General features: G+C 36.5%; 1 long non-coding RNA gene across 1 annotated transcript in view; it reads left to right on the top strand.

Annotated features, from left to right (window-relative positions):
• LOC105374655 (uncharacterized) overlaps nucleotides 1-23301 on the top strand; it is a 213260-nt gene that overhangs the window by 181820 nt on the left and 8139 nt on the right. The gene's annotated exons all lie outside the window — the stretch shown is intronic.

Genomic DNA, 23301 nt, shown 5'->3' with positions numbered 1-23301 from the left:
AACATCCTGTTGGATGTGTTTCAAACACACATATAAAGGTCCAAGGCCTCTAGCTTCTGAAATTATGTTCTCCACTTTGCTGGTGGAAAGCAGCCTCCACTCCCCTGAAGACCATGGAAAGTCCTATTCTCTAGTGGATGCTTTGCAAGATGATACTTGTCTTCAAATCTGCATCAAACTCACTTCATTGCTACTTGACTAAAACTAGGGCTGCATTTAAGCATGACTTGATCAAAGAAGTCTTGTTCTCCCTTCAAGACTAAGGAGGTTATTCACAAAAGGAGCTATGAGATGTGGTCAATAGACACAATAAGTAACTCAGAAAACATGCTTGGGAATGGGTCTTGTGGGTGCTGCACTGGAGAAGGTGGTGAATACAAAACTGGTAAGCAAATAGTTTTATGACTGAGGATCACAGCAGGATGCTGGGCAAGGTCACGGGCCAGCAGACATACTGGCTAAGAATGAGAGGAATCTAGAATTAGTGGTAGAGGAAGGAAATGATGAATAGCAATTATGGCTATGGGAACAACCATGGTGAGGAGAGCTGCAGCTTGTTCTGTTGCACTTATTGGGTTTCTATTAATTTTTAAAATACAAGCAGCTATCATGTGAAGGATCTTGACAGGTCATGACATAGCGAATGTGGAGTGTGAGGATCTGAGCGTTACAAGAGATGCCTGGTAGCAGGTAGTGGCCTTACCAATCATGTACAAGAACACAAATCATGACACTGTGGTTAAGTGCACAGCATGAAAGGGAAAGATTAATAAACAAAAAAGTTAGTACTGAAAACAGGCATATTTAAGGGAATGAGAACAACTTTCAAAATACTTTAATTTTTATTCACAAAAATATATGAGAGGATATTATATTTTTTAAAAATAATAGGGTCATATAAAGAAGTTGAAGAATATGAGAACAAGTTTGCTTTGTTAAAAGCCCTGAAATTATACAAAAATATTAAAATTAAAAGAATTTCCCATAATACAAAGAAAAAATATAAAAATAAAAAGATGCATAAAATGTTAGGAAATACATAGAATTAAACCAGGATGGCAAAATATATTACATTAGAATAAAGGAACAGAATATATAGATGAAGAATGAAAACAAAGGACTAATAAGAAAAATAGCTAAGCTTAAAAAGTAGATAAAAGCGTTTGTAATAAAAGGCTCTGCCAGGTAACCACCAGGATAAATTTAAAAAGGACCATCACCTTAGAACATCATGTTGAAATTTCAAAGAATAAAAGATGAAGAGAGGATACTAATGGCTTTAAAAAATGATCAGGTTATTGGCAAATAAATGCAAACCAGACTGTCATCAAAGAATCCATTAACAGCACTGAGTTCAAAGCTCAATAGAGCAATATCTTCAATGTTCTGAGGGAAAAGAATTTGGAATCTAGAACTTTTTACCCAACCAAATTATAAATTACGTGTACAAACAATTAAACATATTTTTGTTCTTGCAAAAGCATCTAAATTTCCCCCACGTATCCATTTGAAAATAAAACTGCTTGAGCATGTTTTAGCTAAACTGAAAACAAAAAAGCAGTAAGGAAGTCATGGGATGCAAGAATCAATGCATTTAATTAAATACACAAGGTAGTATAAAAATACCCAGCCCACAACAGGCAGAAAAAGAAATCAGTTTAATCTAAAACAGGAAGTCAAAAATGCTTTGAAAAATGTTTTTGTTAAAAATGTAGAAATAAATAATGATAATTCAGTTGCATAATTATTTATTTATAATATTATAAACCAAAATTATCTGAAAACTAAAAGTTTTTTCTAACTCCTTTGGTGGCATAGTCTGAACTGACAGGAAACAACATATTATAATCTGTATGTGTGATATTTTGTATAAATATTCATATGTTTAATTTCAGAAACATTAACATTTTTGAGTATGGAGCTATGCCTTCAAATCTACTGCAGCTGTTATAACATTTATAATACCTGACTGGTATCTCCTAACATCTAAAAAATAACCGAATTTCAAATTATATTTTGCCCCAAGGTTTTCAAAGGAGAAATTGACGAACTGCAATTGTAATAATAGCTCAGAAGACTGTATTCAGTTTTACAGATTTTATACTTCAAGAAATAACTCTAATTGTTATAAACTTTAGAAACAATGGTCGTGAAGGTTACGTCTCCTTGTTAAAACCATGCTGTTGTTCTGGAATGGCAAAGCAGTGCACAGAATCAAGGTTTGCTCATCATTTTCAATCCACAAGAATCAAGAAACACAAGCAAAGGTTAGAGAAAGCTGGGACAGAATGTGACTCCTCAGGTTCTTTCTGCTGGAAATGTGCTTTCTGTCCCAGATTGAAGGATGAAGTCTCCAAATGCAGATCACAGTCACCCTGAAACATCAAGCAATATTTTAGGTCATGAAACATCTATTTGTTTTTTTACTTAGATAGTTAGAATTTACATGAAAATTTCCAGGGATTCATGCCCACAGGAGTTAAGTTTGTCTGCCAAAAGAAATGCTAAACCAGAAACAAACTACCAAAAATATTTTTATTTTGTTAATGAAATAACACATACCATTAGTTAGTAACCAGAAGGTCAGTTGCCAAAGAGTTTATGATGCCATTGAAAGCCACCTGCCTTCTGTCTGAGCATCCTCCTGGTAGAGGGAAATCAATGGATTCCAGACCAGCTGCTTGACTCCTTTTTTGTCTACTATTTTTCTTGTGCCTATAGCAGTGTCGGGCACATGGTAGCCTGAAAAATCATTTTCTTAGTGACTAAGTTGAGTAAGTATCACCAATAGCCATGGGAGTTGTGGAACACTGTGTTCAGAAAGAATACGGAGACTCCATCTAGACCCCTGTGAAATAATAGAACATGATATGGTTGCAATGTCTTAACATATGAGCATAGGAGAGAATCGTGACAGCCCAATGTTCACACATTCTTCTCTGGAGCTCTTATAAATAGACCATAGTCTTCTTTGAAAAGGATTAACTAATAAAAATGAGTTGGTGCCCTAATGTCAACACCTATAATTTAACAATTTTCAAAATAAAAAATTTAGAAAAAGATGATAGTTTTTGAAGTCATGAATTCTAAGCTTTGTCCAGATTTCCCACTGTACTGTCATAAGGCTATTACATTATTTCTATTCTTTGGTTTGTTATTAATTATCTTCAAGAACTTAATGAGACTGATGATTGCTTTCATTGAGACAGGTGGCCTTCATCCAGATCTGTACTGTAATCCAAAAATGATTATCCTCAATCACCTATATTTGCTTGCCAGGGCTTCTATAACAAGGTGTCACAGGCTGGGTGCTTAAACAACAGAAATTTATTTCCTCATGGTCTGGAGGCTGGAAGTCTAAGATCAAAGCGTTGATAGTGTTGATTTCTCCTGAGTCCCCTATCCTAGACTCGTAGATGGTCATCTTTCCCCTCTGCCTTCACATGATCTTTCCACTGTGTGTGTCTGTATCTTAATCTCTTCTAATGAGGAGACAAATCATACTGGATAAAAGCCCATACTAAGGGCCTTAAATACCTTTTAAAAGATCCTATTCCCAAATACAGCCATAGCCTGAGGTACTGGTAATTACTTCAACATACAAACTTCAGGGAGGGGGCACAAGTCACCCCACAGCATCATCCAAAGCACAGACTTGTCCTACTGTTACACAGTATGGTTATGTTTTCAGTACTCTTTTATTCTACTTGACGTTAAGAATAGTAAATGATACTGTTTTATCATGGAAAAATATTTGGCTTTCTTCTCCAATAAGAATCATTTGTGAGTGCATGAGATGTGCTTTTGTTAATACACCAATTACTATGCTTTTGCAAAAGCACATTATTGATGGTACCAAATTATATACAAAAATTATGAAGGCAGAAACCTCTGGTACAAGAGGTGAGTAAGATATCCACCAGTTCACCATTTAAACCAATAAATCTCTGTAAAAGAAACAATTGGGAAATAAGAAACCTATTCAAAAATAATTTCTCACAAATAATAAATATATGTGAGCAAAATATTATTAGTTTCTACCATCACTGAAAACTCTCTCTAACTGATGAAAAATATACAAAAACAGTACAGTGAAAATTAGAGTTTCCAAATAATCTCTGATTTAGTGGTTTTTTATAAAATTGTCTAAGTTTCTAAAAAAAGTTTAATAAATCTTAAAAAACAATTATTTTCTTTAATGACAAGTGTTTACAGAAACTCTGATTGCTGCTCAAAAAATTAAGGTTGCTAGTGTTGTTATAAACAATCTAATTTTTTCCTTAAGAATTCTCAAATTAACTATCATTTCTAGAACTTTATATAAGGAACTATGTTTGTAAAGATTCACATTTGTTTTCTTTATTCAAATATTCACAGGGCTGGGCACAGTGGCTCACGCCTGTAACCCCAACACTTTGGGAGGCTGAGGCTGGTGGATCATGAGGTCAGGAGATCGAGATCATCCTGGCTAACACGATGAAACCCCGTCTATACTAAAAATACAAAAAATTAGCCGGGCCTGGTGGCACATGCCTGTAGTCCCAGCTACTCAGGAGTCTGAAGCAGGAGAATCACTTGAACCTGGGAGGCAGAGGTTGCAGTGAGCGGAGATCGTACCACCGCACTGCAGCCTGGGCAACAGAGCAAGACACAGTCTCAAAAAAAAAAAAAAAGAAAAAATTTTTTTACAAAACTCTGAAGTATCCCAGTACTATTTCAAAGGCAAAAAAAAAAAAACTCAAAATACTTAAGGTTTTAATATGCATTATATGTTCTATGTTTGTAAGCAAGAAGCTCTTAATTTCTTCAATCCACTTTTTATTTATTTTAGTAAAGAAAATATCAAGCAATTTGCTTAGTCAGATTATAAATTGATATATAAAAAAAATTAATTGACATAAGTTCAGTTCAGATAGAAAGAACTACACAAATTTAAAACCAGTGATTTTTCATGAATCTTGAGGTCTCGGGACAAACTGCTATCCCCAAGGCACCTGCAACGAGATACAGGATTTGAGAATTTTCTTACCTGGACAGAAGCCACTGGAATCCACAGAAACCAATTGTAAGATCAAACTGAAAATTCTGACAAATTGCTGGAAGCCAAATATGGGCTAGGATGAGAGTGAGAAATGCTTGGGATCAATAGTCGTAGGGATACCACCATGCTTTTGTAGCCTTTTCCTTCAAGAACCCCCAAAGTCTCTCAAAATGTGGATCTGCAAAAAGTACCCCCCTACACACGCCCCACCAGTACCAGTTGTGGGAAGGGACAAGTGAGATGCCCAGACATCCTTTTCACTTACAGAACAAAGTCTCAGTCCACAGGGGTAGAAAATGAGTAACGCCTCCTGAGTAGTGAAATTCCATTATAGTTAAGGGAAGCAAACTAAGTGCAGCTGCAGCCTCCCAGTCTTGCTTAGGACACAGAAAAAGCCATAATCTGCAAGAACAATGGCCTAAGGGACATTAGGAAAATTGTCCAATTGCAACCAGGAAATGGGTTAGGAGGACAGAGGGAAAAGTCTCTAGCCCTGAAGGAGAAATAGAAATGTTTCTGAAGTTCACACCCCTGAGACACAGGCCTATTGTGTACTCCAAAGACAAAGACTTAATCAGAAGATTAGATAATGCTCTTCCCATGCTCTAACCATGCTAGGAAGCCCCCATTAATAATACAACAGTGGGCTGCAGCTTACGAGTGGCAACAGATAGACTTTCTCTGAGATATGGCTAAAAGGGAAGCACCCAAATCAGAAGGGAGATTAGAAACAAGGTCACTAGAGGAGTTTGAAGCCTCTGGTTCCCACACCAACAACACACTTCAAATATAGCTCGAGTACAGATTAAATTAATTAAAATTCTCACAGTAAAGTCCTATCTACTAAAGCATCCGTTGCCTTGTGAAAAGATATTCAATTTTCAGAAGAAAAATGTAGAAAGCATGCCCACAGGCAAGAAAAAGCACAATGTGAGAAAACAAAGTAATGATCAGAGCCATACTCAGATACAACAGAGACAATGAAGTTATTAGAGAGGAATTTAAAATAATTAAAGGCAGAAAATCTGCAATATTTGATGAGTAATATCATCAGAGAGATGGAAATTATATGAAAGAATCCAATGGAAATCTTATAAATAGAAACAGTAGCAAAAACTGAAAATATTTTCAATGAGCCCATGAGTAGACTTAGGACAGCCAAATTACCTATGAAATTGAAGATGGTTCAATAGAACGCTGAAATGCAAAGAGCAAAAAGTCGAAAACACAGAATATGACAAACAGGAACTCTGAGGTAATAAACAATGTAAGATATACATCATCATTGCAATCCCACAAGGAGAAGATATTTAGAGCAGCAGAAATTTTTAAATAATCAATTACCCAAAACTTTGCAAAACTAGTTACAGACAACAAACCACACAGATCCAAGAAGCACAGACTGCACCATAACAGAATAAATATAAAGATAAAACTAACGAGCAAAAATAAATCAAACCAGACATACTATATTCATACCACTGAAGACAAAAATCCACAGAGAAAACCAAGAAGGCAGCTTGAGGTGGGGAGACAGGGCATGTCACCTGTGGATGAACAAGACCAATAATTACAACAGACTTCTCATCAGAAACCAGGCAAGTAAGAAGACACTGGACTGAAATGTTTGAAATTTTGAAAGAAAAAGTTGACAATCAGAAGCTGCATGTCCAGAGAAAATATTCTTAAGAAGTGAAGAAGTAAAAACTTTCTCAGATAATGGAAAACAAGAAATTTATTGCCAGCAGAACTGTCCACAAGATATGTTAAAATAAATTATCCAGGTAGAAGGAATATGACATAGGTCAGAACAGTGGATCTATGAAAATTAAAAAAGAATGTCTGAAAAGGCATAAATTAAAATAAAATATAATATATTTTTATAGAGAAATGCTCTAAATGTTGGGTCAGGATGGCAGACTAGAGCAGCTCATGTGTGCCACTCATGGAAAGCAAAACATAGGGCTGGTGAACACTGACCCTACAGGCTGATCATGTAAGAAGCCATGCTAAGATCCATCAAGGCATCAGGGGGACACAGAGAACAGAGAGGGGGCAAAACTGGGCACTAGCCTAACAGGGCCCAATGTGGAGCCAGGAGAAGCTCCCCGACTCAGGAAAGGGTAAATGAATGAGAGTCCCTTGGGGGATTTATACTTTCCACAGGGACCCTTGCAAGACTTGGGAATGATAGAAGCCCCTTGGCCCCCTCCACTGCACTTCTAAGCTGAGGCAGAAAGTCTCCCTTTTGTGGAGGCAACCATCAAGTCCAAGGGGTCCTCTACAAGCCTTGGACCCTGAAACAGACAAGCATAAGCACTATAGCTCCAATAGAAGCCACAGTTGCAGTTCATGGGAGCAGTAAGATGGCTCCACCCTACTTCACCAGACAAGGCTCAGTACCAGCTTCCAGCCTGGTGGTCCTGCTTTGCCTGAACTTGGCCAGCAGCTGCAGCCTCCTGTTGTCCTAGGAGGTACCCAGACGACAGGGCCAGCAATCCCCCAGACTCCACCCCTGCCACTGGTAGCCAGGAAGGCAATGCATGCTAGAGCTTCCAGCCCAGCCATCCTGCTTTTATGTGAACTCAGTCAGTCAGGTGCAGCCTTCTGTTGTCCCCAGAAGCAACCAGACACCAGGGATGGTGAGTGATTCATCCACCACTGCCACTGTTAATCAGGTAGTCAATGCATGCTAGAGCTAATAGCCCAGCAGTCCCACTTCTGTGTGGACTGTGTTGATGGGTACAGCATCCTTTCATCCTGGGAAACACCTGGATGGCAGGGCAGGCGACCCCACCCATCCCTGCCACTGGTAGCCAGGTGAGCAATGCCAGCAGGAGCTTTTGGCCAAGAGGACCCACTTCTTTCTGAATTCTGCCAAGCAGTACAGCCTCCTGTTGCCCTGGAAAACACCTAGATGGCAGAGAGGACAACACCACCCACCCCACTTCTCTTAGTTAGATGGGCCGCACCTCCCAAAGCTTCCAGCGCAGTGGTCCCACTACTGCCTGAAGTCTCTGGGCAGGCACAACCCCATGTTTTCCTGGGAAGAACTCAGATAGCAAATTGGGTGACCCCACCCACACCCACATCTTCTAGCTCAGCAGAACTTGCTGGTTTGGGCAGTGTCTAAGCAGGGAGGATCCCTTACTCTCGAATTACTGAGAGAAGTGAGATGCTCGGGTTTACAGATCAGTGGAGGAGTAGGGTGACCCGAGGAGGATACAGCCTGGCTGCAAACTGCAGCCCCTGACTGAGGGAGCCCCATGGACCAGAACAGCCAACAAAAGAAATGTGAGCACAGAGACAGTCATCAGAGGGGGCTCCTCCAAGACACAGGAGTGGACTATGTAAAGGAGTCTTTTCTTTCCCCATCCACCACGGAGCACTACTGCCAACTACACCGAAACACACACAAAAAAGCCGTGCAGCCAAGTAAGAGCATATCTGATGGCTAACACTCTTCACCACCACCTACTGGATCATAGTCCAAAATACAATACCAAAATATATTGCCAATATGAAGCACTTGTGAAAATGAAAGCAAAGTCTCCCATCAGTGCCCCACACCAGTCAATGTGTGTGCACCCTGCTGCACCACCATACCTGCTGGCACATGCAAGCAAGCACAGTTGCCACTGCCACCACCTTGATGAAGCACTTTGACCAGCGACATCCATCATAGTGTTGTGTCCAGAAGACCAGGAACACGTCAATCCCTGCAACACAGCAGGTTCCTATCCTCAAGGGTTCAGAGAACAAAACCAGGGACTTTGTCCCAGTCCCCTAGAGTTACAGCATGAGGAAGCACAGAACTGAAGCTTGGCTACCCGAAATCTTCCAGAACCAAAGGAAGTTGACTGAACCCACCTTATACCAAAATAAAACCCCAAAGGACATCAGAGAAGATAAAAGTCCCCCAGAATATCTCTCCAAAGGACAGCAACTCCAAAGATGAAAGGAACAGCCACCCACACAAATAAGAAGGAGCTAATACAAGAACTCTGGCAACTCAGAAAGCCACCATATCTTCTTACCTTCAAACAACTACACTAGATCCCCAGTAATAGTTCTTAAGCAGGTTGAAATGGTGGAAATGACAGAAATAGAATTCAGAGTATGGATAGGAACAAAGATCATCAACTTTCAGGAAAAAGTCCAAAACCCAATTCAAGGAATCTAAGTAATCCAATAAAATGACACAGGAGCTAAAAGACAAAATGGCCATTTTAAGAAAGTACCAAAATGACCTGATAAAACTGAAAAACTCACTTCAAGAATTTCATAATACAATCACAAGTATTAAGAGCAGACTCAACGAAGCTGATGAAAGAATCTTAGAGCTTGAAGACCAGCTCTCCAAAATAACTCAGTGAGACAAAAATAAAGAAGACCTCTGAGAAGCGTGGAATCATGTAAAGAGAACAAATCTTACACTCATTGGCATCCCTTAAAGAGAGGGAGAGAAAGCAAGCAACTTGGAAAACATATTTGAGGATGTCATCCATGAAGATTTTCCCAACCTCGCTAGAGAGGGCAATATTCAAATCCAGGAAATGCAGAGAACCCCTGTGAGATACTATTCAAGATGACCATCCCCAAGACATAGTCGTCATTCTGCAAGTTCAAAAGGAAAGAAAAATTGTTAAACATGGTTTAAAGAGAAGGGGCAGGTTATCTACGAAAGGAGCTCCATAAGGCCAACAGTGGACCTTTCAGCAAAATGTCCAAGAGCCAGAAGAGATTCAGTGCCTATACTAACCAGTCTTAAAGAAAAGAAATTCCAACCAAGAATTTCTTATGCAGCTGGAATAAGCTTCATAAGAGAAGGAGAAATAAGATCCTTATCAGACTAGCAAATGCCAAGGGCATTTGTTACCACCAGACCTGCCATGTAAGAGGTTATTAGGGGGGTGCTAAATATGTAAAGGAAAGATTGTTACTCTCCGTCACAAAAATACACTCAAATCTATAGACCATTAACACTATAAAGCAACCACACAATGAAGTGTATATAATAAACAGCTAACAACACGATGACAGAATCAAACTCATACACATCAATATTAACCTTGAAATTAAATGAGCTAAATGCCCCCATTTAAAAGGCACAGAGTGGCAAGTTGGATAAAGAGGCAATACCCAACTATATGTTGTCTTCAAGAGATCTATCTCACATATAGTAACACCCATAGGCTCAAAGTAAAGAGATAGAGAATAATCTACTAAGCAAATGGAAAACAGGAAAAAAGCAGAGGCTGCTATTCTAATTCCAGACAGAACAGACTTTAAACATGCAATGATCAAAAAAGACAAAGAAGGGCATGGATCATTGAGACAGAAAACTAGCAAAGACACTTGAACAATGGGAGTAACAGACATCTATGAAAGTCTACACCCAAAAACAACAGAATATACATTCTTCTCATCTGAACATGGCACATATTCTAAAATCAACCAGAAAACAATCCTCCAAAAATTCCAAAAAAAAAACTGAAATCATACTAAACACAGCCTTGGACAGTAGTGCAATAAAAATAGAAATCAATACTAAAAAGACATTCAAAACCATACAATTACATGGAAATTTAACAACCTGCTCCTGAATGACTTTTGGATAAAACAGTGAAATTAAGGCAGAAATCAAGAAATTATTTGGAACTGATAAGAACAAAGATACAACATGCAAGAATCCATGGGACAAAGCTAAAGCAGTGTTAAAAGGGAAGGCTATAGTGCTAAATGCACACGTGAAAAACTTAGAAAGATTCCAAATTAACAATCTTACATCAAAACTAAAGAAATAAAATCTTATCCAACCCACATTATTTCGTTGTTGTTTTAGGCTTTTAGCAGCTTGAAGCCATGGTTTTTAGTTTCTGTCTCTGGTGATAGGCAGAAAAGTGGAATAAGGAAGGATCTTTACTGGCCCAATCAGAAACAGAAACTAAGAAACCATGACTGTATTATTTCCCTTGGGAGCCCCTGAAAACAAGAGCAAACCAACCCCAGAGATATCAGAAGACAGGAAATATCCAAAATCGGTGCTAAATTGAATGAAGTTGAGAAAAAAAATTATGAAAGACCAACAAATCCAAGGCTTTGTTTTTTTTTTAAGAATTAATAAGACAGATAGACTGCTAGCCAGACTAATAAAGAGAAAAAAGAGAAGATCCAAATAAACACAACCAGAGTTGACAAAGGGGACATTACAACCAACCCCACAGAAATACAAAAAAAAAAAAAAATCCTCAGAGACTACTATGAACACCCGTATGCACACAAACAAGGAATCCTACAAGAAAGAGATAAATTCCTGGAAACATGCAGCCTCCCATGATTGAACCAGGAAGAAACTAATTCCCTTAACATACCAATAACAAGTTCTGAAATTGAATCAGGAAATAAAGAAAAGCTTACCCTCTAGAAAAAACCCAGGACCAGAGAGATTCACAGCCAAATGCTACCAAGTGTATAAACAAGAGGTGGTACCATTCCTACTGAAACTACTTCAAAAAATTAAGAAGGAGGGGCTCCAACCGGACTAATTCTACAAGGTCAGCATCATTCTGATACCAAAATTTGGCAGAGACCCAACAACGAAAAAGAAAACTTTAGGCAGATATCCTTGATGATAAAATTGTAAACAAAATGCTGGCAAACCAAACCCAGCAGCACATCAAAAAGCATATACACCACAATCAAGTAGGCTTAGTCCCTGGGATATAAGGTTGGTTCAACATACATAAATCAATAAATGTGATTCACCATATCAAGAGAACTAGAAACAAAAAACACATGATCTTCTCAATAGATGCAGAAAAGTCTTTCAATAAAATTCAACCTCTCTTTATGTTTAAAACCCACAACAAGCTAGGCATTGAAGGAACATATCTCAAAATAATGAGACCTATCTTTGACAAACTCACAACCAACATTGTACTGAAGGGCCAAAAGCTGGAAGCATTCTCCTTAATATATAAACAGAAGAAAACAAGGATGCCCATTCTTACCACTCTTATTTTGACATAGCAGTAGAAGTCCTAGCTACAGCAATCAGAGAAGAGAAAGAAAAAAAGTCCATCAAAATAGGAATTGAGGAAGTCAAACTATCTCTATTTGTAGACAATAGGATTCTATACCTAGAAAACCCCACGGTTTTGGCCACCAAACTCCTAGATCTAATAAACAGCTTCAGCAAAGTTTCAGAATACAAAAATTAATATACGAAAATCAGTAGTATTTCTATACCCCAACAGTGTCCAACCTGAGAGCCAAATTGTTGCATTCACAATAGCCACAAAAGAATAAAATACCTAGAAATACAGCTAACCAGGGAGGTGAAAGATCTCTGTAATGAGAATTACAAAACAGTGCTCGAAGAAATAACAGATGGCATAAACAAATGGAAAAACATTACATGCTCATGGATAGGAATAATCAATAAGGTTAAAATGATCATATTGCCCAAAGCATTGATAGCTAGATTCAATTCCTAGCTATCAATGACATTCTTCACAGAATTAGAAAAAAAAAATCTTAAAATTCATACGGAACAAATACAGAGCTTGAATAGCCAAGGCAATTATAAGCAAAAGAACAAAGTTGGAGAAATCACGTTACCTGACTTCAAACTATGCTACAAGCCTATAGTAAGCAAAACAGCATGGTACTGGTACAAAGACCAATTGAATAGAATTGAGAGCCACACACTTCAAACCATCTTGTCTATGACAAAGTTGACAATAACAAGCAATGGGGAAAGGACTCCCTTTTCAATAAATGGTGCTGAGATAACTGGATAGTCATATGCAGAAGATTGAGACTGGACCCCATCCTCACACTATATACAAAAAAAAAAACACCCAAAACTATAAAACCTTAAGAGATAACCTAGGAAATACCATTCTGGACATAGACCCTGGCAAAGATTTTATAACAAAGATGCCAAAAGCAGTGGCAACAAAAGCAAAAATTGACAAATGGGTTCTAATTAAACTAAAGAGCTTCTGCACAGCAAAAGAAACTATAAGCAGAGTAAACAGACAACCTATAGGATGGGAGAAAAATTTAGCAAAATGTTTAACAGATGTTTATAACACAGATGATGGTGAGTTTGACGAGAAAAGGGGACACTTATACATGGCTGGTAGAAATCTAATTTAGTTCAGCTATTGTGAAAAGCAGCGTGGTGGTTCCTTAAAGAGCTTAAAACAGAAGTAGTATTTGACTCAGCAATCCCATTATTGGGTACATACCTAAAGGAATATAAATCATTCTAGCATAAACACACATGCCACACATATGTTCACTGCAGCACTTTTTACAGTAGCAAACACATGACATTAATCTAACTGCCCATTAACCATTGATTGCATAAGGAAAATTTGGTACATAGGCATTATGGAATACTACAACATCATAAAAGTAATGAGATCCTGTCCCTAACAGCAACATGGATGGAGCTTGAGGCTGTTATCCTAAGTGAACTAACACAGGAACAGAAAACCAAATATTACATGTTCTCACTTATAAGTAGGAGCTAAACATTGAGTACACATGGACACAAAGAAGAGAACAACAGACACCAGGGCCTACTTGAGGGTGAAGGGTAGGAGGAGGGAGAAGATCAAAAAACTACCTATTGGAGTCTATGCTTATCACCTGGGTGAAGAAATAATCTGTATGTCAAACTCCCAGGATGCACAATGTACCTATATAACAAATCTATACATGTATTCCTGAAAGTAAAATAAAAGTTAACAAAAAAATGCTTTAAGGGAATATTCACTCTGAAAATTCAGAGAAATGCCTAAAAATTCTAATGACCTCAGATTTATCATCAGAAACTGTGATTTTTTTCAACAGCAGTTAGAATAATTGGCCAACACTATACAAAAAAAAAGAAATTTGACACAAATCTTAAACTTCACAAAAAGTTCTTAAATTTTTTATAGATCCAAATCTGAAATATAAAGTTATAAAATCAAAGTTTTAAAGAGAAAATCTTCCTGTCCTGTGATGAGACAAAAGTTTCTTATACCTGATCAAAGCTATAAAACGGACAAAGTGGAGTCTGTATTTTTAAAAATTTTCTTGCAAAGACCCTATTAAAATCATGGAAGGACAGATTTTTACACCTGCATAAATCTTTTAAAATTACATCTGTAAAGGACTTGTATCCAGAATATAAAAAGACCTCTCAAAATCTAAGTAAAAGGAAATTGAAAACACAATTAATAATGGACAAATAATTTGAAAAGATACTTTATCAAATAGGGTATACAGACAGAAAATAGACAAAAATGTGCATTATTAGACTATGGGGAGCTGCAAATTAAAACTCCAATGAGATATCACTATACACTTAATAGAATGGTTAAAATAATACCAATACTAAAGGCGGGAGAGAATGCAGAGCTAGTGGCAACCTCAGACAAGGCTGGTGGGAATGCGAAATGGTACAGCCCTTAGGAAATCACGTTAGCAATGTCTTATAATTCTCTATCTATATCTGTAGTATGGTCCAGCAATCTACTTCTAAGAATTATACTAGATAAATAAAAAGTTGAGTGCAAACAGAAACCTATACACCAATTTACGTAGTAGCTCTGTTCATAACAGCCCATGTTTTTCAAACCAAAATGTTTTCAACTGGTAGACGTATACAAAATGGAATATGAATCAGCAATAAAAATGAACCAGTTATTGATACACCCAGTAAGTTGTCTGAATCTCAAAGTTATGATACTGAGTGAAGGAATTCAGTCTTGAAATGATTCTCCCGTTTGCCAGAGGCTCACTGTTAGGAAAGTATACGGTTGGGGGATTATATAACTATGAAGATGTTTTCTAGGATGATAAAACCATCCTGTTTTTTAATTTGTGATAGTTACACAAATCTGTACAGATGGTAAAGTTTATAGAACTGTACACCAAAACAAATAAGTTTAATGTTTTATGTACTTACTTTAGAGATATGAAAAACCACAATTTAGATATATGTGAATGGATGAAAAGTTGACAAGGAGTGGATTTGGTTTATGTAGAGCTATGTTTCCCAGAGTCCCCTCCTCAGTACGATTTGGGGTTAGGGTTGATTTCAAAGGCTTTGCATGTGATTTGGCATGAGGATGTAAAAAATAGCTATCACTATATGAACACCATTGAAAGGCTCTTGTGGCAGAGGCAGAGTAACCAGCAAATTCCAGCTTGTTCTTGCTCTATTAAATAACACACCCATTTCTTATTCCTGACTCTTGCCCATAATGACCAACGATCAAACCTATCACCAGAACTTTGTGTGCAGACTCACAGTGAGGGGAGGCTGATAGCTACCTACAGACTTCTCAGTCAGTCATCTTTATAGAGGTCCACTCTGGTGTCTATATCACTGGCTGTTCATTTTGATCCATGAAGCCTGATGTGCATCACCTCAGTTTCTTGGAATTTGGTCTCCACTCTGAGAAAAAGACTGTGCTGGCCTACTGAGAAGAGATCATGTGGAGCAAAAATTGAGTTTTCCAAGCTATAGCCATTCTAACCAGTCCAACCCTTGCTGACCCAGCAGCTCACAAGACAATGAGAAAAACCAGCTGAAAGAGCCACGGCTGGCCCAGATTTACAGAACCCTAGACCCGTGGTGATGGTTTTAAGCCCCTATGTTTTTGGTTTCTTATGCAGCAGAGGGCAACATACAACTCACATACTTGTTACAATCTATTTTGTTATTCATGAAAAATAGTTGGAACTTTTATTGAGAAACATCAATCATCTATGTACCAGGCACTAGAGTAGGGATTTCATACGGTTTATCATATTCTCACAAGAAGAATTTAGAGAATCTAAGTAAATTGTCTTACATTACTTTCCTATAAGTGGCTACATGTGAAACTCAAACTCAAGACTCTAGTGTCCATTATTTTTCTGCTGCACCCTTCTGCCCCCTCCTTGTGTGAAAATAATTTAGAGTCCAGGATAAATTTTTGGTGGAAAACATTATTTGAAATGACCTCCCTTCCCCTGATTATGCTTAGCTCCACATAAACACACACACCCACACACCTTCTTTAGTGACAAGAAATTAATAGCTAATAAATAAAATCAATCAAAATGAGGCAACTTTTTTAGATAATCGCCAAATTAAATTAGCAGATCCTATACACAAAGTAGCTTGAGTTTGCAATGTTCCATTTTAAAAGGAAACCTACATTCCAAAAGCTAAGAATCTCTCTTCCAGTAAAATCTTCATGTTTTTCTACTCTATCATACTAACTTCCACCTAAATTACTGTACTTAAAAAAAAAATTTTGCTTGGCTCTATTCATTGTTACCTAAAGCTTTCTGTAGTATAACAATTCTATAAATATATGTTAGAAAGTAAAAAAATATCTAGACCGTAACAAGCAACCTTTGAGGATCTTCATTTTTGTGTACATAATTTATTTTGCTTACCTTGAGAACTTTGGAAGGCAATTAAGAAAAGAAATAAAATATCCCCTGCTTTCTTTTTATAGTTTCACAAAGGCAGGAGATACTATCTGGCCTTCTCTAGCTTAGGGATTATTAAAAAGTTGCCACTTTGATGTATGTATAGAAAAAAGTGTCTCTAAGAATTGCTCACAGGTTTCTGGATATGCCAAAACAGAGCAAACAGATAAAGATGAAGATGCTAGAAATCCCATGTGGCTTATGACAGATTTGCAAAATGATAATTCTTAATAATGCATAGTTCAATTTTTTTCATCAAGCATAATAACATTGTAATATTTTCCTTTATTTTTCTCACAATAAAGTCACTAGAAGAAAAACACATTTTTTTCCAAGCTAAGTGAGGGTCATAAGCAGGTGAGCAAAGAATGAATTACTTATTGATACATCAAAGGAAAAGAATAGTTTGTGATAGCTACCGACATAAATTTTGTATTTTGAGCTAAAGTCCTAGTTTCTAATTATTTCATTTTGTCCTTTCAATATGGCGTTCTGGGAAGCATAGACCATGTTTTCTATTTTATTTATTGTAATAGAAACTGTATTTTCTTATTTCAGATTTCACTAGGGATTATAATTCAAAGACCATTTATCTTTCTCACTATTTAAAATGCCCTTAGCAGCTATCACCCTAGTGTAAAAGCCAGTGAATTTTGGACCCTTACCTTTTTTTAATGTGCTGCTTGGAATATGCATGCAGGACAAAAATTGCAACTTCTGCGTTCTCTTGTTAGAAATGAGAACGGTTTGTTATTTTTCCATATTTTAGCAAACTGAATGTTTAGCAAACTGTGAATGTACATTAAGAAATGAAATGTACACATCATTACAACTCCTCACTTAAATATGTACCAGGAAGATAATTCTGCTGCTGGAGTTAGAGTACTTATTGTTCCAAATATTTGGCATATAGTTTCTAGGCATTGTAAGACTTCACTTTTTCCTCCCTGTTGCATTATTAATTTCTGTAAAAATACTAGAAATTTTTTCACTGTTAAAAATAGCAAACTTTGGGTCAAGTGCAATTTGGCATATCAACCTTCTGCAAATGTTAAAATAAAAAATGGCCTTTGGTATTGTAGGCAAATTACCTCTGTTTTATTTCCTTTAAATATTATAAAATGATCATTTGTAATGAAAAGTTCAAAATTTTTACTTTATTTAAAAGGAAAAATTAGAATTTAGCTTGAACTATGATAATAGAACTTAGTCATGTAGCAAAGAAATGTTGAAGAAAAAAAGTCATAGATTGCACCTAATGTGAAACACACACGACATTTTAGTTGCATGCTATATATGTGTTAATATTTTATTGACTTTAAGTGCCATAAATCTCTAATTTGTTATGAAAACAGATATAAAACTATGATTGTATTATAATCAATAAAACAATGAGAATAATGTAAAAGTGCTAGCAGAACTGAGTTTTCTAGTAAATAAACTTTTGATTAAAAACTATAACAGATTTTTAGGTAATATTTAACTTACAATGTTTCAAGTTCTCATTCGTGTTTGATGCCAGCCATTTCAAGTTCAATCGTATATGAGTATAGTAGATTGACATAGTGGACCAACTTAGTCTAAATATTTTATTTTAAAATTATAATTAATTTTTGAAATTACATAAACAAAAATGGCCTTTCAGTCATTATGTCTATGAATTCCGAGCCTGTATCATTATTTCCAATGTCTAAAATGTATTTGTGAAGATTATTCAAAGCACCCAGAGGATGAAAGAGGCCATTTTATTACCACGAAAAGAACTCTTCTGAGAGTTGGAAGAGTTTTACTCTACGTTCATCCACTAACTTACCTTTGAGGCCTTAGGAAATTCAGTGGAGCTTAATTGGCAAGTTTTCACTTTTCAATAAGAAAAGAAAATTTGACAACATTATTTCTTTTTTTTATTATACTTTAATTTCTAAGATACATGTGCACAACGTGCAGGTTTGTTACATATGTACACATGTGCCATGTTGGTGTGTTGCACACATTAATTCATCATTTACATTAGGTATTTCTCTTAATGCTATCCCTCCCCCATCCCTCCACCTCATGACAGGCCCTGGTGTGTGATGTTCCCCTCCCTGTGTCCAAGTGTTCTCATAGTTCAGTGCCCACCTATGAGTGAGAACATGCAGTATTTGGTTTTCTGTCCTTGCGATAGTTTGCTCAGAATGACTACGTGATTTCTAAGGCCTACTTTACTTTAAACATAGAAACCTAATCACTGATGACTCTTCACTGCTCATGAACACGAAACACATTTCAGCACACACTGGATTCCAAGCCTTCTAAGGAGGGAAGGGCCCATATCCGTATTGTCATCACATAAACCCCCAGTACCCAGCTCAGTGCTGTATATATCCATACGCAAGGCACTGATAGAAATTTACTGAGTAAATGAACACATGAATGAATATTTTCTCCCAAATTACTGTTTTCTCCCAAGTTAATACTTTTCTTGTCATGAAATGATCTTGCCTGGTGATTATTTTTCATTGTCTAATGTTATTCCAGTTATTGTTATTAGAATCAGAATGCTTATCAAGCAAGTATAATGAATTTTAAAAGCACAAAAGTTTGGTTTTCTTTGCTGATTTGATGTGGGTAACCTTGACTTGCCAGACCTTCACTCACAGATTCAAAATTTTAGAAGGAATTTATTCAGCCTTAGGAATGGAAAATTATTTAAAATTATAGAAAATATGGAATATTTGTCCCCTTAAAGTGAACTAGAAAATCCAGAGCAACCCTCCTACTAAGAACCATAGACAAAGCATAAACCGGACTGGGGCCTTACAAGGCTCTGAAGCTTATGAGGCCACAATCTTGGTAGGAGACGGAAATTCAAAGAGGATTCTTCTTTTCAATTCTGAAAGAGGTGTCTGACACTCAATGAATATGAGCAGGATGTTTGAGGGTTTTGTGAGAAGAAAAGGATAAAAGTTGAAATTAACAGCCAACGAGTTTGGGGCTCTGCTAAACTGCCTGAATTTAGCAAGGAGCCCTGAAAAGCTGTACCTCAGAAATAAGGGTGAAGCAACCCTACTTCCAACCTCCAATCTCAGTCTCTGAAATTGGGGTAGGAGACCACAGACTGCTAGGGTCTCTGAGAGGTGCCTGGCAGAAGTAAATGCAAATCTCCTCTGAAAGAAGTTAATGTTGTCCTAGGCCTCCAAATAATTCTTAAAACAATTTTATTACATACGCTGCTTGGCACCTAATAACAAAAGAATGAAGCTGGAAGTAAGTGTTGTTTGTTTCCCCAGAGAAGGTCACTCTTTATCTTCCTTACAATAGATTTTACTTCCATATAAATTTGTCACTAAGTATAAATTTCAGTCTTATTGTATTCTTTATTTCTTTGTATGTATTTTAATCAGAACCTAAATGAATCATATAAATTCTGAGACTGGCAACACCACCAACTTTCAAAAAATGTGTCAGAGCTATTGTTTAGCATATAAAAGGAAAAGTAGTACTGTCTTTCTTCTATGACAAAATTTTTGTCACTGCTGAAGTAAAATAACATTGCTGAGGGAAAGATTTGTTTTCTCCCACGAATACTGGCATAATTAAAATGGATATAGTTGAAGCATTCTGGTCTTCTATGGTTGTGATTTATTTCCACTGACAACTTTTTTAAAGTGTGTATTGATGTTTGAGGAGGGAAATTCTGTGAATCCAATTTTTTTAAAAGCATATGCACTTAATATTTTCGTGTCACAATTGTGAAACTATTACATAGCTAGTACGTCATATGTGGTGTGTACAATTTGCTCTTGTTTACTGAATCAGAAATTTATATGGCAGCAACTAATGAAATGTGTTTTCTCTTGCAAATGAATTTTTAAAATATTAAATTAAAAAGTGTTTTTCCTATTTTAATTACAAAATTATAAAATAACACCAGAGAGTTGTGTTATAGAAAAATGTTGCAAACACATTAGCTTATCAGCATTCAGTCAACATCTTGGAATTCCCAAGGGGTTGGTATTTGGACATGGGGACTTTGGGAGGAGATTAAGTCATTAGGGCAGAGCCCTCATGAATGAGATTAGTGCTTTTCTAAGAAGAGACTGGAGAGATTTGCCTCTCTGTGTCTGTTCTCTGCCACCTGACACCACCAGAAGATGGCCATCTATAAGTCAAGAAGCAAACTCCCTTTAGACACCAGATCTGCTACTCCCTCCAGAACTATGAGAAGTAAATGTTGTTCAAGCCAGCCAGTCTAAGGTATGTTTGTTATAGCAGCTTGAACTGACTGAGACATTTAGCGTTTGATACATGTTAACTCACCAAATCCTCCCAACAGCAACATGATAGAGAATAATGCCCCTAATAATGATGACCTTTAAGTAGCATTTACTATCTTAGCATAATAAAATATCACAGTGATCAAATATTAAGTAATTGTTAACATTTCTGTTCTACACATGAGATGCATAAAATTAAGTTCCTAAATCAAGGTCACAAAGAAAGCAGTGACAGGACGAGTGGTGGAAGTGAGCAAGTATAGCTTCCCCAGTCCTGGTTCCCAGCAAACACTCCTAGCAAGAAAAAGGGACCTCTTCTCTTGCCCTCTCTCTGTCTTATTCTTCTACTTTCCCTTCTTTTCTCTCTTTTCTTTTTTCTCTCCCTTTCACTATGCCTCTTTGTCCCTCTCTTTCTAAATCAATCTGCAAGTGGACAAACATTTTAATTGAGTATGATAATTGGTTTTTGAATCAGACAGAGAGGATCTGCTCTCTTTCCAGAATCACAAATATATAGATTTTAATATTGTATTTAATTACATCTATCATATTTCTATTATTGCTAACAAAGTTTTATACACACAGATACACACACACACGGCCCAAGCAAATCAGTTTAATAACAGTGAAAAATATTAACCAAGATTTTGGTTAATTTTCTTCAAAAGGTTTAAAACCATGAGGGCTGTATAAGTATAATCTCTCAATCAGAACCCATGAAATTTTGATAAAATGCTTTTTCACATGTTAATCTCATAAAACTAATAAAAATTCATTTTAAAGTAAAATGTGATAAAATATGTATTACATTTTGTAGGAACATCTCAATTGTGACAAAAGAACTTTGATGTAAAATGTCAAGTACTTACAATTTCTTTAATTACCTGAAGCTTTTTTTCTCTTTTCTATACCACAGTGGCTGACTAATCTAGGGGTAATACGTTATTTCACCAAATAATGCTGATAGTCTGCTTTATTGCAGTACAGATTTAGAGATGTACTACAGACTCGATGCTGTATAACATGGCTGAAGCCTGGTTATCATTTTTAGTAAATGCAAGGAGTCAATAAATAGTATAATAAAATTTACTGTCCTATTAGTGCTAATTAGGTTAGCTTCATTTGACTCATTTGCTGCTGCAGACTTGTCTTATAATTTGTCTTTTCTTAAAAGATGTCGGTACTTGTGAAAGAGCATCATCATCAAATGTGTAATTTTTTAATCTAGAAAATAATACTCAAGTGCCAAGTCTTAAAATGTATGATGCACAGGTCCTTTGAAAGCAACTGCCTCCTCCACCACATAGCTACCTATCACTTGTAAAGTGTCTTCTAGCAATTAGTACCTTATGGTAAAGAAAACAATCTTCTCTTTTGTAACATACTAACATCACATCAAAATGATCCATAATCAAGATGAGAAAGGCAGCAATAGAGTTATCAGGAAGCTATGTTTTAATGCTTTTTAAAAGAGGCTAAATGCTTTGCAAAAGAATAGTTTATTTCCGAGAATCAAGCAGGAGGAGGTATTGCAGTTGGTTCACATATTACAAGAAGAAAGCAAAGATATAAAAGGCAGATGAACTTACTGGAGATTCAAGGCCATGGATATTTAACAGGTATTGAAGATTATATATCACATCCTACATCCTCCTAAGGAACATTTTCAAACAACCCCACCATCAAATAGATACAGTTATGCACACATGACCAAAATGAATGGAATTAAAACAACACAACAACCAAAATACACAACCCCAAAGATATGTTTTATATAATCGACATTTTCATACACATGCTCACATACACACACACACACACACACACACACACACACACACACACACACACACACGATGCCAGCTAAGACATGTCAAAATCTAAAGCAGCTGGAGTGCAAACCAATGTATTGCTTAAATACTCAAAATGTAGATTGTTGTGACAACACTGGATTTCCATATTGTATCATCAGTGTAATATAGAAGGTATGTACTCCTGGTGCCCACGTTACCTTTTCCGGTTCTGGAAGATACATTATCTTCTCAGTCCCATCCATAAGAAGGAGTGACTATAGTGAATCTATGAAGTGCTGTTAATATATATATATATATATTCAGCCTCAAAAACACTCAATCCAAATTTTCTAAAAATAAAATAATGTCTCAAGTAGAAGCCTTTATTAAATTTTAGAAATATAGTACTAGGTGGTGTTTTATATGGAGTTAATTTATCTGGTACTGAGTCAAGGCTTACCAAGGTTAAGCTTAGAGGGAGAGGAAAATGCAGTACTCATATTCACCTCCCACAACCCCCAAACAAGGGAAAGCATTTAAAGAGTTTTCAAAGTGATGTTCTTTAAAAGGTGAATTTCCTTTGAAGTAAATAAGACTTGGATCAAAAAACAGAGTTAGACAAATTTGAATAAATGCATTATTTTAAAATTCTGAGCACAAAAATATCCATGTAGACAATTTCATAGCATAAGTAGATAAATAAAAGCATCACTTTAAA

Source organism: Homo sapiens, chromosome 5 (genome assembly GCF_000001405.40).
Source record: "Homo sapiens chromosome 5, GRCh38.p14 Primary Assembly".
In the NCBI taxonomy this organism is placed as follows: domain Eukaryota; kingdom Metazoa; phylum Chordata; class Mammalia; order Primates; family Hominidae; genus Homo; species Homo sapiens.
This window is presented reverse-complemented; position numbering and strand designations above follow the sequence as displayed.